General features: G+C 50.1%; 1 protein-coding gene across 3 annotated transcripts in view, besides 1 other annotated feature; it reads right to left on the bottom strand.

The window, feature by feature from the left end:
* Positions 1-18,007, bottom strand: part of COL5A3 (collagen type V alpha 3 chain) — a 50,944-nt gene that overhangs the window by 22,167 nt on the left and 10,770 nt on the right. For 2 of the 3 annotated variants that reach the window (XM_011528042.3, NM_015719.4), the window contains exons 9-32: positions 16,375-16,422; positions 16,257-16,298; positions 15,644-15,706; positions 14,888-14,962; positions 14,706-14,789; positions 14,479-14,535; positions 14,339-14,392; positions 13,837-13,890; positions 12,026-12,079; positions 11,892-11,945; positions 11,653-11,706; positions 11,296-11,340; positions 11,100-11,153; positions 10,277-10,321; positions 10,061-10,114; positions 9,883-9,927; positions 7,742-7,795; positions 7,595-7,639; positions 7,397-7,450; positions 4,987-5,031; positions 4,826-4,879; positions 4,588-4,695; positions 4,115-4,168; positions 338-391 (exon numbers count right to left, since the gene is read on the bottom strand). In XM_011528042.3, coding sequence (XP_011526344.1) covers positions 338-391; positions 4,115-4,168; positions 4,588-4,695; positions 4,826-4,879; positions 4,987-5,031; positions 7,397-7,450; positions 7,595-7,639; positions 7,742-7,795; positions 9,883-9,927; positions 10,061-10,114; positions 10,277-10,321; positions 11,100-11,153; positions 11,296-11,340; positions 11,653-11,706; positions 11,892-11,945; positions 12,026-12,079; positions 13,837-13,890; positions 14,339-14,392; positions 14,479-14,535; positions 14,706-14,789; positions 14,888-14,962; positions 15,644-15,706; positions 16,257-16,298; positions 16,375-16,422 — 1,350 coding nt within the window. Of the gene's footprint in view, positions 1-337; positions 392-4,114; positions 4,169-4,587; positions 4,696-4,825; positions 4,880-4,986; positions 5,032-7,396; positions 7,451-7,594; positions 7,640-7,741; positions 7,796-9,882; positions 9,928-10,060; positions 10,115-10,276; positions 10,322-11,099; positions 11,154-11,295; positions 11,341-11,652; positions 11,707-11,891; positions 11,946-12,025; positions 12,080-13,836; positions 13,891-14,338; positions 14,393-14,478; positions 14,536-14,705; positions 14,790-14,887; positions 14,963-15,643; positions 15,707-16,256; positions 16,299-16,374; positions 16,423-18,007 lie in introns of those variants that run through there. The other variant, XM_017026849.2, reaches the window with a different exon arrangement.
* Positions 16,911-17,139: a silencer, noted in NCBI's record as "fragment chr19:10109314-10109542 (GRCh37/hg19 assembly coordinates)". NCBI's record gives its function as "represses an EF-1alpha promoter that drives an FKBP-Casp9 reporter gene in an ReSE screen in K562 erythroleukemia cells {active_cell/tissue: K562}" and the evidence as "EXISTENCE:reporter gene assay evidence [ECO:0000049][PMID:32094911]".

The raw sequence follows: 18,007 nt of genomic DNA on the forward strand, positions 1-18,007 counted from the left end.
TCTTGCACACATTTATGCCCACCATCATGCAAAGTGCACGCAGATTCATGCCCTTGTTCACCCAGGCACAGGCCTGCAGGCTGCGGCATTCAAACCCTGTCTCATCGATATTGAAAGATACATGAAACACATATACATGTGCTTACAGTCATATTCATGATAATACCATGTGTAATCACCTACATGTGTCATGCATTGCATATAATAGCATGTGTGCACACAAATGTTCCAGGCATAGACACAAACACCCAGGGTCCACCCATCATCAGACACAACCACACATGCTGTTCCCCTCAGACAAGTTCTCCCCTCTCCCTTACCCCCGGTCATGACTCACCGACTTCCCTTTCTCTCCTATGGGTCCCAGGGGACCGGGAAATCCAATAGATCCCTGAGTGGAGAGAATTAGAAAGAAGACATGAGGGTGAGGAGTGAGTGGTGGGTGGAATTGGCCCCTCATACCATCCTTTGAGGCATTTCCAGGTCACTGATTCCAGAAGCTTCCTTGGTCTCTACAGCCCCAGCCTCCTACAAGGCAGCCCTCTTCTCTCCTCTCCCCTCCTCTCCTCCCTTCTCATTTCACTGCAGCCCTTTGCACTGGCTGCTGTCTTTGGCTGAAATGCTTGTCTCCTAGGCCTCCACAAAGTCAGCCACTCCTGACCATTTAGATCTCATTCAGATGTCACCTCCTTAGAATGCCTTTCTACCACCATCCTGGCTTCCACATTGCCCAAGTCACCCTCTGTCTGTCACATTATGCTATTTTGTTTTCCCAAGAACACTTGCGTTGAAATGACCCTTATTGACTTATTTATTCAATGCCTGTTTTCCCCCACTGTGACATAGCTCATTGGTCTTATTCCCCACTGCCTGGCACACGGTGAGTGCTTTTTAATATTTGTTAACTGACTCCAGTCCATGCTGGAGGAACCCTTCCTCCACCTGGGGGAAGACATCACAGGCTCTGATATCCTCTCCCACACCTCACTGTGCAGACTGAGTTCAGATCAGAAAAGACAGTTGCCCAAGTTACACAGTCTGTGGTGGCATCCCGCCTCAAAGCCCATTTCAGGCTCCCTCTACTCTCCCTTCCCATCTGGGGGTTCCATGGTCTCTATACTCTTTTTTTGTTTGTTTTATTTTTAAGAGACAGAGTCTCACTTTGTCACCCAGGCTGGAGTGCAGTGGTGCAATCATAGCTCACTGCAGCTTCAACCTTTTGGGCTCAAGTGATCCTCCTACCTCAACCTCCTGAATAGCTGGGACTACAGGTTCACGCCACCATGTCCAGCTAATTTTTGAAATAAATTTTTAGTAGATATGGGGTCTCACTATGTTGCCCAGGCTGGTCTTGAACTCCCGGCCTCTAGTGATTCTCCTACCTCAGCCTCTGAAAGTGCTGAGATTACAGGTGTGAGCCACCAACCTGGCCCCAACACTCTTCAAGGATCCTGAACACATGCACACAAGGACTTTCTAAAATCTTAGTCTATGTCAGGTACAGTGGCTTATGCTTGTAATCCCAGCACTTTGGGAGGCCAAGGTAGGAGAATCACTTGAAGCTGGGAGTTTGAGATCAGCCTGGGCAGCATAGCGAGACCCTGTCTCTGTAAAAAATTTAAAAATTCATCAGGTGGTGCGCACCTGTTGTTCCCAGCTACTCAGGAGGCTGAGGCAGGAGGACTGCTTGAGTCCAAGAATTGGGGGCTGTAATAAGCTATGATCGCACTATTGCACTCCAGCCTGAATGACAGAGTGACACCCTGTCTGAAAGGAAAGCAAGCAAGCAAGCAAAAAGAAAGAAGAAAGAAAGAAAGAAAGAAAGAAAGAAAGAAAGAAAGAAAGAAAGAAAGAAAGAAAGAAAGAAAGAAAGAGAAAGAGAGAGAGAGAGAAAGAAAGAAAGAAGAGAGAGAGAGAAAGAAAGACAGACAGAAAGAAAGAAAGAAAAAAGAAGAAAGAAAGAAGGAAAGAAAGAGAAAAAAGAAGGAAAAGAAAAGAAAAAAGAGGGGGACGCAGTGAGGGAGGGAGGGAAGAAAGGAAGGAAGGAAGAAAGGAGGAAGGAAGGAAGGAGAATAAAGTTGTCCATCAAAACTAAGCTTCAAAGTTTTTTTCTCAATCGTTAAAAAGAAAAAAAAATCTAAGTTAAAGGAAAAGGAGTCAATGTAAAGGGAAATCACTGAAAAAATAAAAAAAAAAAACCACTGTCAAATCCAACGTAGGCAAGATAACTATCAGCTCAACAGCACAAAAATGTGAAACTCTAGGAGGATTCTGCACTCAATTATCTTCCCAAATGTCTATTTTTTTTTTCTTTTGAGACAGAGTCTCACTCTGTTGCCCAGGGTGGAGTAAGTGGCACGATCTCAGCTCACTGCATCCTCTGCTTCCCGGGCTCAAGCAATTCTCCTGCCTCAGCCTCCATGTACCTGGGATTACAGGCACCCGCCACTGCACCCAGCTAATTCTTGTATTTTTAGTAGAGATGGGGTTCTGCCATGTTGGCCAGGCTGGTGGTGAACTCTCGACCTCAGGTGATCCACTCGCCTCGGCCTCCCAAAGTGCTGGGATTACAGCCATGAGCCACTGCGCCCAGCCCCAAATGTCTTTAGGTTCCTGCTCTACTCTAGAGAAACAGAACTCATCAGTGATATAATATGGGAATAGTTTAGGCAGAAAAATGAATCTCATCAGTGTCCTCACCCATCAAAACATTGGCAAACAAATGTTATGTTTTCATATAAGTACGTTTTTGCATAAGTACATTTGACTATAAGTTATAATTAATTCAAGATATGTAAGATGTGTATTTTATGATTCTATGATTCTCCCCTTTAACTGACTTTGTTGGTGAATGAAACTTAATCACACCAAATAAAAGGATCCTACAGTTTTATAATCATTGTCATCATCAGCATTATCAACATTATTATAATCAAATTGATGAGGTGGAAATTACTGGGATGTCTGTTTCACCGCAGAGAAAACAGGCTCAAGAAACTTTCCCAAGATCACATAGCGGGTAAGAGGGCATTTGACCCCAAGTCTGTCTGATGTCAAAGCTCACTTTTTAAAAAAATTTTTGAGACAGAGTCCCCCTCTGTCACCCACGCTGGGGTGCAGTGGCTCGATCATAGCTCACTGCAGGCTCAATCTCCTTGGGCTCAGGTGATCCTCCCATCTCAGCCTCCCAAGTAGCTGGGACCACATCTGGCTAATTTTTTTTTTTTTTTTTTTTTTTTTGAGATGGAATCTTGCTTTGTCACCAGGCTGGAGTTCAGTGGTGAGATCTTGGCTCACTGCAACCTCTGCCTCCTGGGGTCAAACAATTCTCCTGTCTCAGCCTCTTGGGTAGCTGGGATTACAGGTGCATGCTACTATGCCCAGCTAATTTTTTTGTATTTTTGGTAGTGACAGGGTTTTACCATGTTGGCCAGGCTGGTCTCAAACTCCTGACCTCAAGTGATCCGCCTGCCTCTGCCTCCCAAAGCGTTGGGATTACAGGTGTGAGCCACTGCCCCCGGCCACATCTGGCTAATTTTTTTTTTTTTTTTAGATGGAGTTTCGTTCTTGTTGCCCAGGCTGGAGTGCAATGGTGCAATCTCAGCTCACCACAACCTCTGCCTCCTGGGTTCAAGCGATTCTCCTGCCTCAGCCTCCCGAGTGGCTAGGATCACAGGTATGCACCACCACACCCAGCTAATTTTGTATTTTTAGTAGAGATGGGGTTTCTCCATGTTGGCCAGGCTGGTCTCTAACTCCTGACCTCAAGTGATCCGCCTGCGTCTGCCGCCCAAAGTGTTGGGATTACAGCCATGAGCCACTGCGCCCAGCCACATCTGGCTAATTTTTGTATGTTTTCATAGGGACCACGTTTTGCCACGTTGCCCAGTCTGGTCTCGAACTCCTGGGCTCAAGCAATCCTCTCACCTCAGCCTCTCAGGGTGCTGGGATTATAGCCAAGAGCCACTATGCCTGGCCAAAGCCCACATTTTACATTCTCTCAGTGACCCTTGGGGTGGGCAGCTCATCCCCCAAGACCACAGCCTGGACCCCCAGATGTTAGTCTCTGAATCCTGCCCATATCCATCTCCACCCCCCACCCCCAGCTTCCTACCTTAGGTCCAGGGCGTCCTGGATAACCTGGGAGGCCTGGCACCCCAAGCTTGCCCTGCAGAAAGGTTATGGGACAAAGGTCAGAAATTGCAACCTGGAGGTCAGAGGCGGAAAGGTCAGGCTGGCTGGGGCATGGTGAATGGGCTAATGGGATGGGAGTTGGGGAAACGAGGTTCAAGTCCTTGCTCCTGCCTGCTAGGGGCATGTCCTTGGGCAGGTCATTCAGCCATTCCAAGTCTCAGTTTTCCTTGTCTGTAAAATGGGATGAAAATGCCTATTGCATGTGGTGGTTATGGATATGAACACATAAGTTGCATGCATTAAATTGCTCTGTAATGCTGAGCTGAGGAATTAAAGATGACAAGGTTGGTAGCAACCTCCTGAGGTCGAAGGTATAATAAAAGGGCAAAGGGCAGAGGGAAAAGATTGGGGACACCTTGACTGTGGGAGGCTAGAGGGTGGAGAGTCATTTACCTTCTCCCCAGCTGAGCCTGGGGGCCCCTCCTCGCCAGCCTGCCCCGCCTGCCCCTTCGGCCCCTCAGGACCATCCTCTCCCCGGGGACCTGGAGCTCCGGGTTTCCCCTGGAAGAAAAAGGAGAGTATTTAATATCCATCTTTTGTCCTTCCTGCTCTGTCTAGCCCCAGCTCATCCCCTCCCTATCTTCCCCGAGCCCCCAGACCCACACCACCCCTCATCTGGAGCTGGTCTTACCTGATCACCTTTGAGCCCCACATCGCCCTTGAAGCCTGGGAAGCCGTCCTCTCCCTGGGTGGGAGAGACAGAGGCCAGAAGTGAGGGCCTCGGGGAAGGGACACAACCAGGACCCCATGATTGGGACTCCCTCTCCTCTGATGAGTTCCTTCTCTCCTCACCTTCTCGCCTTTCTCCCCCTGGAGGCCCCGGTTGCCTGAAGTGCCCTGGAAAATAAAAAAAAAAAGCTCTCAAGCCTCTTCCCTGCTTAAGAAGTGACCCAGACTCAGTCCCCTGCTCTAAAGCAGCCAGGATAGTCCCAAGAGGAGGCTAGGCAGAAGCTGGGAGGGGCAGCTTCAGAAGAAATGATCTTTCCCCAGAGGCCCCTCCCTCCCCACTGGAGGCCTCTCAAGGTCATCTGTGCGGGGGTGTGCAGGGAAGGCCAAATTTCCAAGTAAGCGATTCCCATCTCCTGGAGACGCTTTGTCCACAGTTCCTTCTGGCAGGAGAAAGAGGATGAACATTCCAGGCCCGGACCTCATTTTAAAGGCAAAGGAATGTTCCCCATTGTGCCAGCTACAAGGCGACTCTGTGCTTGGCAACAAGATGACCTCTGTGCTTGGCTATGGAGAGAGCGCTTAGTTCAAGTCTGGATGCTGCTCACACCAAACTCTGAAAACTGCACTTGGCTACAACATCTCTGAGCTCAGCGGGCTACAATGAAATTGCGCTTGGATACAATACAGCCCATGTGGTTAGTCTCCAGCTACAGACAAATTCACTTGATCACAATGTAACTGAGCTTGGCTACAAGTTGTTCTCTAGCTTTGGCTACAATGTAACTAGACTCAACTACAACATAGGGGTTGGCTACAATGTAACTAGACTCAACTACAACATAGGGGTCAGTTAATGTTTCTAAAGGCTGGGCATGGTGGCTTACACCTGTAATCCCAACATTTTGGGAGGCAGAGGCTGGAGGATTGCTTGAGCCCAGGAGTTCCAGACCAGCCTGGGCAACACAGGAAAACCTCATCTATACAAAAAGTACAAAAAAAAAAGAAAAAAGGTAGCCGGATGTGGTGACGTGCACCTATAGTCCCAGCTACCTGGGAGGGTGAGGTGGGAGGATTGATTGAGCCTGGGAGCTCTAGGCTGCAGTGAGTGAACTGTGATGGTGGTACTGCACTCCAGCGTGGGTAACAGAGTGAGACCCTGTCTCAAGAATAATAATAATAATAATCAAATGAAAAAACTGCCAAGCCTGGTGGGATACGCCTATAGTCCTAGCTATTCAGGAGGCTAAAGTGAGGGGATTACTTGAGCACGGGAGTTCAAGGCTGCAGTGAGCCATCATTATGCTGCTATATTCCAGCCTGGGCAACAGAGAAGACCCTGTCTCTAAAAAATAAAACATTTAGGGCCGGGTGTGGTGGCTCATGCCTGTAATCCCAGCACTTTGAGAGGCCGAGGCGGCCGGATCACCTGAGGTCAGGCGTTCAAGACCAGCCTGACCAACATGGAGAAATCCTGTCTCTATTAAAAATACAAAAATTAGCCAGACGTGGTGGCACATGCCTGTAATACCACTACTCGAGAGGCTGAGGCGGGAGAATCGCTTGAACCTGGGAGGCAGAGGTTGCGGTGAGCCCAGGTGGCATCATTGCACTCTAGCCTGGGCAACAAGAGCAGAACCAGGTCTCAAAAACAAAAACAAAAAAAGATTAAAAATGTAATTATGCTTGGCTACAATGTAACTCTGAGGGTGATGCTTGCCAGACTCTGTGCCTGCTACAGTATAGCCAATTCCTTGATTATAGTGTGTCTAAGCTTGTCTAATGCACACATGTTCAGGTAAATTACATCTGTATTTGGCTACAATGTCACTGGACTCAGCTTCCATATGGATATGAACTCTAATGCCCCTGCACCTCTATTTAGCCAGGTTGCAGCTCTTGGCTTAACCCAGCATACTGTGCTTATGTGATTCTGAGCTTGGGTTAGAACACAACCCTCGGGCCAGGCACAGTGGCTCATGCCTGTAATCCCAGCACTTTGGGAAGCCAAGGAGGGTGGATCACCTGAGGTCAGGAGTTCGAGACCAGCCTGGCCAACATGGTGAAACCCTGTCTCTAATAAAAATACAAAAATTACCCAGGAGTGGTGGTGCATGCCTGCAGTCCCAGCTACTCAGGAAGCTGAGGCAGTAGAATCGCTTGAATCCGGGAGGAGGCAGAGGTTGCAGTGAGTGGAGATCGCTCCACTGCACTCCAGCCTGGGCGACAAAGCGAGACTCTGTCTCAAAAAAAAAAAAAAAAAAAAAAAAAGAAAGTAAAGAAAAGAAAAGGAAAAAGGAAAAGAGAAAAGAAAGAAATGTGTTTGGCCTCTAATGGGCTTAGCTGTTCTAACAACAAGGTGACAACCACACTGTAAGGCTGTCCTTGGCTGTGCAGCTCCAAACCCCAGTCCCACTACATTTGGCCTGGCCAACTGATTCCCCTCTCCACACATCCAGAAGTTTCTGATGGAGCTGCATCGCATGCCTGAACCCAAAGCTGGTAAATCACTCATACCTGCAAGCGTATCACCTACCTTCACTCCCCGAGGTCCAGGATAGCCCGGAGGGCCTGCCGACCCTGGTGGACCCTGGGAGGAAAATAAGGTCAGTGCCATTCTAGACAGTCCCTTCCACATTCTAAGAGCCCTCATCTCTCTCCTCTGTGGCCCCTGACTGCAGGCCCTGCCTCCCGACCCTCGTCCCCAACCCAGCCTAACCTCCTGGTCACTCACCTGAGCCCCTTTCTCTCCCGTGGGGCCCTCATGTCCTGGGTGACCCTGGGGAAGAAACATTCTCAGTTGTCAGAGACCAAAACTTGCCATTCCAATTCCCAAGGCTCCCCTTTCTCCTTCCTCCTTTTCCCAGCTCATGGTTCTCACCAGAGGGCCATCGGATCCTGGGAGGCCTGGAATTCCTGGGTTTCCAGGGGGACCCTGAAAGAAGATGAACAGCAGGGGAGAGACAGAGGTGCTCAGAGCCCTGGAGCACCACTAGGATCTACGCAGACATGCAGCCGCCTCAAGGTTAAGAAATAAGCAGACCTCACTGGCCAGGAAATCTATCCCAGCTCTGCCCAAACTTGCTGTGTGACCCCAGGCAAGCCCATTTCCCTCTCTGATCCTCAGAAATCCACTGCCTCTGGGAAGGTTGCAAGGAAGAACATAAAAACAGTACAAGATTGATAGCACAACAGGGTAACTATAGTCAATTATATGTCGCCCAGGTTGGAGTGCAGTAGCATGATCTCAGCTCACTGCAACCTCTTCCCAGGTTCAAGTGATTCTCCTGCCTCAGCTTCTCCAGTAGCTGGGACTACAGCACCCGGCTAATTTTTGTAATTTTATTAGAGATGGAGTTTCACTATGCTGGCCAGGCTGGTCTCAAACTCCTGACCTCAAGTGATCCACCCACCTCGGCCTCCCAAAGTGCTGAGATTACAGGCGTGAGCCACTGTGCCCGCCTTCCCTGGCAGACACACTTCTGTGTGATAATTTACTTGTACATTTAAAAATAACTAAAAGAGGCCGGGCGTGGTGGCTCATACCTGTAATCCCAGCACTTTAGAAGGCCGAGGAGGGTGGATCACCTGAGGTCAGGAGTTCAAGACCAGCCTGGCCAACATAGTGAAACCCCGTTTCTACTGAAAATACAAAAATTAGCTGGGCGTAGTGGTGGGCACCTGTAATCCCAGCTACCTGGGAGGCTGAGGTGGCAGAATCACTTGAACCCGGGAGGTGGAGGTTGCAGTGAGCTGAGATCATGCCATTGCACTCCAGCCTGGACAACAAGAGTGAAATTCTGTCAAAAAAAAAAAAAAAACTAAAATAGTATAACTGGATTGTTTGTAACACAAAGAATAAATACTTGAGGGGATGGATACTACATGACATGATTCTTATGCGCATGCCTGTATCAAAACATCTCATGTACTCCATAAGTATATACCTACTATGTACCCACAAAGATAATAAATAAAATTAATTTTTTTTTTGAGGTGGAGTCTCGCTCTGTCGCCCAGGCTGGAGTGCAGTGGCAAGATCTCGGCTCACTGCAAGCTCCGCCTCCCAGGTTCATGCCATTCTCCTGACTCAGCCTCCCGAGTAGCTGGGACTACAGGCGCGCGCCACCACGCCCGGCTAATTTTTTGGTATTTTTAGTAGAGACAGGGTTTCACCATGTTAGCCAGGATGGTCTCGATCTCCTGACCTCGTGATCCCCCCATCTCAGCCTCCCAAAGTGCTAGGATTACAGGTGTGAACCACCGCACCTGACCAATAAAATTAAATTAAAACAGTGCAAGAGACATGTTGAAATAGAAGCTTCACAGCCACACCCCTTTCTTTAAAAATGCCCAGCCGGGCATGATGGCTCTCGCCTGTAATCCCAGCATTTTGGGGGGCCAAGGCAGATGAACTGCATGAGCCCAGGAGTTCAAGACCAGCCTGGGCAACACAGGCAGACCCCATCTCTACAAAAAAAGAAAATAAGAAAAGAAAAGAAAAATTAGCCAGGCACAGTGGCATGCGCTGATAGTCCCAGCTACTCGGGTGGATGAGGTGGGAGAACCACCTCGCCTGGGGAAGTCAAGGCTGCAGTGAGGCATTATTGAGCCACTGCACTCCAGCCTGGGCGACAGAGTGAGACCCTGTCCACACCCCCCAAAAAAAGATATGTGCAGAAAGAAGTGTGTCTGCCAGGGAAGGCGGAAGCAGATGTGCCAGGGAACAAAGATGAGACCCACAGGGCCTGTGCCTCTTGGTAATATCTTCTGTGACAGGCTTCTGTGGGCTCTCTGTATCCTGACAATATCCCTTATGTGAGCTAGCCTTGGTGGGTTTCTGTTTCTTGCAACCAATCCTTCCCCAACAAGGACACTTTGTATCTCCGGGCTGGCTTAGGGAATGTTGCAGTCTATCACTATCCAGAGCTAACAGAGGGGTCTTGGTGGGAAGATTTTCCTGGCAACAGAGTTGAAGGAAGAAGACTTGAGGAGGTCGCGGTAGGTGGAGCTGTCACTCACCTTCTCCCCAGGAGTGCCAATGAGTCCCTGGGGACCGGGGAGTCCCTGGAGACAGAAAAAGAAGATGAGAGAAGGCATAAGAAAGAAGCGGTGAGTGTGGAGGTTGGGAAGCCTGGTCACGGTCTAAGGTCTTAACTGACCACTCCCATGCCCCATTATTGGGAAAGACAGTTCAAACCTGGGACCCATGGTTTCCCTGCTGTCCCGGAGGGCCTGGTTCTCCTGGAGGACCCTGGGGAGAAAGTGGGGTTTCAGTGAAGCTAAGAGGGGTCATGGTGTTGGGGCGTTAGTGAAATTGACTTGGGGGGGGTCAGTCATGGAAGGGAATAGGGATGTGGACAATCGGGGTCAGAGTGTCAGAAGGGTCAGAGGTCAAAGGGCACAGGGCACATACCACATTGCCTTTGGCACCAGGAGCACCATCAATTCCAGTCACACCCTAGGGGAAAAGAGGATGTGAGACCAAGACAGAGCAACAAGCTGGGAGCCTGAGTCTGAGACACCGAGAGATGCAGGTGGAAAGGTGAGCAGGGCCGGGCACTGTGGCTCATGCTTGTAATCCCAGCATTTTGGGAGGCTGAGGCAGGTGGATCACCTGAGGTCGGGAGTTTAAGACCAGCCTGGCCAACATTGTGAAACCCCGTCTTTACTAAAAACACAAAAATTAGCCAGGCATGTAATCTCAGCTACTCAGGAGGCTGAGGCAGGAGAATAGCTTGAACGTGGAAGGCGGAGTTTGCAGTGAGCAGAGATCGTGCCATTGCACTCCAGCCTGGGCAACAAGAGCAAAACTCTGTCTAAAAAAAAAAAGAAAGAAAGAAATGTGAGCAGGCAGAGAAGCCAGCAACAGATATGGACATGCAGAAGGCAGAAAAGCGAGAAAAAAAAGACAGACAGGGGCCAGGAACAGTGGCTCAGGCCTGTAATCCCAGCACTTTGGGAGGACCACTTGAGGCCAGGAGTTCGAGACCAACCTAACTAACATGGTGAAACCCTGTCTCTACTAAAAATACAAAAATTAGCCAGGTGTGCTGGTGGGTCCCTGTAGTCCCAGCTACTCAGGAGGCTGAAGCATGAGAATCACCTGAACCCAGGAGCCGGAGGTTGCAGAGAGCTGAGATCTCGCCACCGCACTCCAGCCTGGGCGACAGAGCGAGACCCTAATCTCAAAACAAACAAAAAGACAGACAGGGATGCAGAGAGCCAGTGACACTCACCGGGCGACCCGTGGGGCCAGGAGAGCCTCTGGGGCCAAGCAGTCCTCGTGGACCCTGCAAGGGAGCAGGCGAATTATTTCCACATCACCTCTGTGTGGCCATGTGAGCTCTAGGGGTCCTATGAGTCCTGGGGCCCTGGGAGTCCTGACTCCCTCCCCTGCACCAAGCAAGGGGCCCAGGGATCCCTGATACTCACCGGCTCCCCAGCCTGGCCAGTGGGCCCTGGAGGTCCCTCTGCTCCCTGTGGAAAAGCGTCATTACTTGGGAACAGGAAGGTACAACCCTCGGAGAGCCACCTCCCCTCATCTGGGCAGCCCCTTCCAGGGGGTCTCGGAATTAGACCAGGATCCCTGGGAACCTGCAGACTAAGTTCATGGGATTCCATTCAGGCCCCTGACTCCAATCCTAGACCTGCAAGTCTCACCTCCTCACCCCACAATTTGTCCCTAGCTCTCAAGCTGGCCACTGAGACCTCCAGATCTTCCTCTCTGATTCTCACTCAGGCTTCCAAACTTACTTTCCAAACCAGGCCCTAACTCTCTTCCAAACTTACCCTCTCACCATCCTCTCCTGGGGGACCGGGTTGCCCCACATGGCCAAAGTCACCCTGGAGAGGGAACAGAGGGGAGTTCAGAGTGGAAGGGTGTGGGCGGAGAGACCAGCCCCCTGGGAAGGCAGATGGGGTGTGAGGAGGGACACAGGGATCATGACTCTGATACTGAGGGAGAAGTTGGGGGGGCTTGAATATTGGGAGGAGGGCTTAGACTTGGGGGAGGGACCTCACACACTCACCCTTTGGCCCTTCTCACCAGGCAGCCCAGGGAGGCCATCGAAGCCACGATCACCCTGTCCAGAGACACCAGTGAGCCTTGACCCCATAAGCCTGACAGCTCCCACCAAGTCTTATCTCAGCCCCCATCACCTACCTTAGGTCCAGTGTCCCCTGGGAGGCCCCGAGCTCCATCTGCTCCAGGGCGGCCCTATGGAGAAAGTAAGCCCAAGAGTCAAGGATGAGCCTTCCCTGTACCCCTCCACCAAATTAGGAACCCAACTTCATCATCAACATCAAGATTTTTTTTTTGACAGGGTCTCCTTCTGTCACTCAGGTTGGAGTGCAGTGGCACGTTCTCAGCTCACTGCAACCTCAGCCTCCTGAGTAGCTGGGACCACAGGTGCATGCCACCAGGCCTGGCTAATTTTTTATATTTTTGGTAGAGATGGTGGGGGTTTCACCCTGTTGCTCAGGCTAGTCTCAAACTCCTGAATGCAAGCGATCCACCCACCTCAGCCTCCCAAACTGCTGGGATTACAGGCATGAGCCACCATGCCAAGGCTAAGATATTATTTTTTTTAATTTATTTATGTATTTTAGAGCTGAGGTCTTGCTCTCTTGCCCAGGCTGGAGTGCAGTGGCATGATCATGGCTCAATGCAGCTTCGAATTCCTGGCTCAAGCAATCCTCCCACCTCAGCCTCCCAAGTAGCTGGGACTACAAGTGCACACCACCACACCTGGCTAATTTTTTATTTGTATTTTGTGTAGAGACCGGGTTTTGCCATGTTGCACAAGCTGGTCTCAAACTCCTGGGCTCAAGCCATCCTTTCACCTCAGCCTCCCAAAGTGCTGGGATTAGAGATACCAGTTGCTATGCCATGGCTGATTTTATTTTATTTTATTTTTTTGAGATGGCGTCTTGCTCTGTTGCCCAGGCTGGAGTTACATATATGTTTTACATATATATATATATATATATATATATATATATATATATATATATATATGGTCACATGTCACTGAACAACAGGGATACATTCTGAGAAATGCATCAGTGGGCAATTTTGTCATTGTGTGAACAAGATAGAATGCACTTACACAACTCTGGATGGTACAACCTACCAAACACCCAGGCTATGCGGTATAACCTAGTGCTCTCAGACTACAAACCTGAACAATGTGCGACTGTACTGAATATCACAGGCAATTGTAACACTATAGTAAGTATTTGTATGTCTAAACACATCCAAACATAGAAATGGTACAGTAAAAATACAGTATTATAATCTCATGGGACCAGCATCTTATTTATTTATTATTATTATTATTATTTTTTGAGACACAATCTCACTCTGCCACCCAAGCTGGTGTGCACTGGCTCACTGCAACCTCTGCTTCCTGGATTCAAGCCATTCTCATGCCTCAGCCTCCCGAGTAGCTGGGATTACAGGCGCACGCTGCCATGCCCGGCTAATTTTTGTATTTTTAGTAGAGACGGGGTTTCCCCATGTTGGCCAGGTTGATCTCAAACTCCTGACCTCAAATGATCCACCTGCCTCGGCCTCCCTAAGTGCTGGTATTATAGGCATGAGCCACTGCGCGCAGCCAATCATCTTATAAGCATCATTATGTGGTGCATGACTCTATCTGAAGTTGACTTGTTTGTCATTTCCTTCCATGTGACAGGCCTCTTTTTTGCCGTGCTGTTTCTTCCACTTCCCCATCTGTTCATCTGGTTCTATTTCAGATCTCAGGGCAAGCATCACTCCTGCAGGCAAGTCCTTCCTGACTCTACGGCCTGGCCGGATTCCTTTGACACACACTCAGTGGAGCTGCCATTCCCTGCCTTCAGCACTCTTTTCCCACTAACGACACCAGCAGACCCCAAGGTCACAAAGCCAAGGCTCATGTTGGGTGTTGAGGGATGGATAAGGGGTGGTCTGGGGACCTAGCTGTCACTCACCATCTTGCCCACTCGGCCAGGGGGTCCATGAGGTCCCTGCAGGCCTCGGGGACCCTAGAAGAAAGCAAAAAGGAGGAAGGAAAGGAAAATAAGAAGAAAGAGGGACTTATTCTATTGTATTAAAAAAAATTAGAGATGGGGTCTTGCTGTATTGCCCAGGCCAGACACCTGGGCTCAAGCAATACTCCCTCCTCAGCCTCCCAAGTAGCTGAGACAAGTGTGTGCCACTGTACCCAGCTTGGAAGGACATATTTATTTATTGTATAGACAGGGCCTCCCTATGTTGCCCAGACTGGTCTTGAACTCCTGGCCTCAAGCAATCCTCCCACCTCGGCCTCCCAAAGTTCTGGGATTCCAGATGTGAGCCACCATTCTCTAGGAAAGTCATCAATTGCAAGGGTATCCCCAGCCCCTTTGGCACTTTCCCCATCCAGCACTGTATCTTGTGGTCCTGGGGGAAGGCTATTCCCATCCTATCCTGCCCTATCTCCACAAGTCTCACCTGTGGCCCTTCTGCTCCCTCCTCTCCTTTCAGACCTGGATGCCCGGGGAGACCCTTGGGGGAGGAGAGATGGAGGAGTGTGGGTAGATGATTCTTCACTAATGCATGCACCGCCCCCTCCACGCAGTCGCCTTACTCACCACAGGGCCTGGGCGCCCAGTGAGCCCCACTGGACCAGGGGGGCCTTTCATAGAGAGCTGGAAAGACAGAGGAGTCAGAGCTTGGGGCCTCCCACAAGACCCCCAACATTCCCCACAGAGGCATCTTCAGGAGAAAAATAACCCCCTTCTCCTGCCCAGCCCCTCCTTACGCCGAGGCTCTATCACTCTCTGGGGTTCCTCCCACTATGTCCACACCTCCCACTCACCTGAGTCTGCTGCAGAACTGCCTGAGCCTGGGCCTGCTGGAATGAGACTGGGGGGCCTTTAAAGGAGCCGCCTGCAAACTGGAACTGGGAGGAATTTAGTGGTGAGGGAAGCCCCCAGGAGAGGCCCCCTCCTGGATCAGGACTCCACTCCCCAAGGCTGGGCCACTCCATCTCCTTCTTACCGGCATCATGATCACAGTGCCCGGTGGGCCTCGGATCCCATCAATGCCGGGGATTCCTGGGAGGCCAGCAGGGCCCTGAGAGAGGGATGGGGGAAGAGAGGTGGAGACAGGGAGAGAGGGAGAGAGAGAGCGAGGACAGGGGAGGCACAGAAGGATGAGTCAGAAAGAGAGAGAGAGGGAGAGATGGAGAGAGACACAGAATCAAAGAGGGATCATGGCAAGGAAAGAGAGAGAAGTAGAGAGAAGTGGAAAGGAAAAGACAGAGATGGAACAGAGACAAAGAGAAGGGGAGAGAGGGATGGAGAAGGATGGGGGCAGATGGAGAGACATACAGAGACAGAAACAGAGAGACAGAGAGAGATAGACAGAGACAGAAAAGCCAGTGAAAGACAGACAGAGATGGAGAAATAGAGAGAGAGGCGAACATAGAGAGATGGACGGAGGGAGAGGGACAGAGACCAACAGAGAGAGACAGAAGAGAGACAGAGACAGAGTCACAACAGGAGAAAGACAGAGATAAAAGACACTCAGAAACAGAGACAGGCAAAAGAAGAAAAGCAAAGAGTAGGCCCCAGCAACACAAGGTGAACCAGAGAAATAGTTCACAGATGGGAGACAGAGAACAGAAGAGGTCAGTGCCAGCCCCGGGATGGTGTTCCCGAGTGCCACACCCTCATATCTATGTTCAGACTGTCACGCTCCCAGCCCCAAACCTCACTCCTCTGAGAAGTGTACACCCCAGTGGGAGTCTCTTACCGGTGGACCAGGGTCGCCAGGGAATCCTGGGGGGCCGGGAGGGCCTGAGGGGCCAACCACCCCCTGTTGGGGACAGAGAAACAGGAGTCACAGGAAGTGCAAAGTTTGAGCTAGGCTGACTTTCAACCTACCACTGACTCTAACCTCAGGCTGACCTCCCTACCCCACTACAGAGCCACTCCAACTCCCCTAATGCAATACTGACCCCCACTCACCCCCAACGCTACTCTCGGACCCCTCTTCTTTTTTTAGAGACGGTCTCACTCTGTCACCCATGCTGGAGTGCAGTGGCGTGATCATAGCTCACTGCAGCCTCCAACTCCTAGGCTCAAGCAATCCTCCCACCTTGGCCTCCCAAGTAGTTGGGACTACAGTTGGGTGCCACTATTTTTTAAAAAAATATATGGCTATTTTTAAAGAGATGGGGTCTTGCTATGTTGCCCAGTCTCTATATTGTTCATCCTCCCTATTTTGACTCACCCTTTAAGCCTCAAATGTCCACTACCCTCCACTTGGCCAGGCAACATTACACCCCAACTCCTCACTCCAGGGGATTAAACACCCCTCAGCTGGAAGGGAAAGACTGGAAGAAGGAAACACAGCCATGACTTACTTGGGGTCCTGGGGCTCCTGGAGGTCCCTCAAACTGCTGCCCCTGAAGGGAGAAGTGAGTGTCGGTGACCGCTGTCATCATGAAGCCTCTCAACCCCCTCACAATCCAGACCCCTCACCTTTTCAATCACTGCGGGCTCTCCTTTTGCTCCTTTCTCTCCAGCACCCTGGGGTGGGGTCAGGGGAGATGGAGAGAAAAGAGATGTGAACTTGGACATAAGCCCTTCAGTTATCTGATCACACACACTTGCACACACACACACACACACACACACGGAGTCCACCCTCAGAGCCCCTTCTCCTCTACTGTAACCAATATGCACTGAGAAGCTCAGCCCCCCGCATCCACCGGGCAATGCCATGCCAAGGTGAATGAAGAGCGTGAAATCCAGAGACTGCTGCCCAATACTGATCCTGCATCTGCCTCTTACTAACTGAGTGATCTAACTAAGTTGGGAAACTTAGTCAACCCCTATGGCCACTTACAGGTAACCGGTCAACCTGTAAAGTCAGTGGATGAATGACGCCTGTGTATATATCATGCAAAGATGAATGAATTAAAACAATGCTTGGCACACAACAAGCACTCCAGGTAACAAGGTAGCAAGGGCAAGTTAGTTACAACTATGTGTCTATGCGCCTCCCCTGTGGAACACCTAGGCTTTTCCTTTCTCCCTTTCTTTCTTTCCTTCTTCTTTTTCTTTCTTCTTTTTTTTTTTTTAAATGGAGTCTTGCTCTGTCCCCCAGGCTGGAGTGCAGTGGTGTGATCTCAGCTCACTGCACCTTCTACCTCCTGGGTTCTAGCGATTCTCCTGCCTCAGCCTCCCCAGTAGCTGGGACTACAGGTGCCCGCCAACACGCCTGGCTAATTTTTGTATTTTTAGTAGAGACCAGGTTTCACCATGTTGGTTAGGCTGGTCTCGAACTCCTGACTTAGGTGATCCACCCGCCTCATCCTCCCAAAGTGCTGGGATTACAGGCGTGAGCCACCATGCTTGGCTCCTTCCTTCCTTCCTTTCTTTCTTTTCTTTCTTTCTTTCTTTCTCTTTCTTTTTCTTTCTCTTTCTTTCTCTTTTTCTTTCTTCTTTCTTTTTTCTTTTTTTTCAGAGTCACTCTATTGCCCAGGCAGGCTTTTCCTTTTTTCTCTCTCTTTTTTCCTTCCTTCCTTCCTTCCTTCCTTCCTTCCTTCCTTCTCTTGCTTGCTTGCTTTGCTTGGCATTTTTTTTTTGACACAGGGTCACTCTATTGCCCAGGCTAGAATGCAGGGGTACAATCATGGCTCACTGCAACCTCGATCTCCTCAGACTCAGGTGATCCTCCCTCCTCAGCCTCCTGAGTAGCTGGGACCACAGGTGCACACAGCACCATGCCCAGCTATTTTTTATTTTATTTTTTTGTAGAGACAGGGTCTTGCTATGTTGCCCAGGCTGAACTCAAACTGGGAGCCACTGCACCTGGCCTTTTTTCTTTTCTTTTTTTCTTTTTTCTTTTTTTTTTTTTTTTGAGACAGAGTCTCCCTCTCGCGCCCAGGCTGAAGTGCAGTGGCGTGGTCTCGGCTTGCTGCAAGCTCCGCCTCCCGGGTTCACGCCATTCTGCCTCAGCCTCCCGAGAAGCTGGGACTACAGGCGCCCGCCACCACGCCCAGCTAATTTTTTTGTATTTTTTAGTACAGACAGCGTTTCACCATGTTAGCCAGGATGGTCTCAATCTCCTGACCTCGTGATCAGCCCTCCTCGGCCTCCCAAAGTGCTG

This window comes from Homo sapiens, chromosome 19, assembly GCF_000001405.40.
Source record: "Homo sapiens chromosome 19, GRCh38.p14 Primary Assembly".
Taxonomy (NCBI): domain Eukaryota; kingdom Metazoa; phylum Chordata; class Mammalia; order Primates; family Hominidae; genus Homo; species Homo sapiens.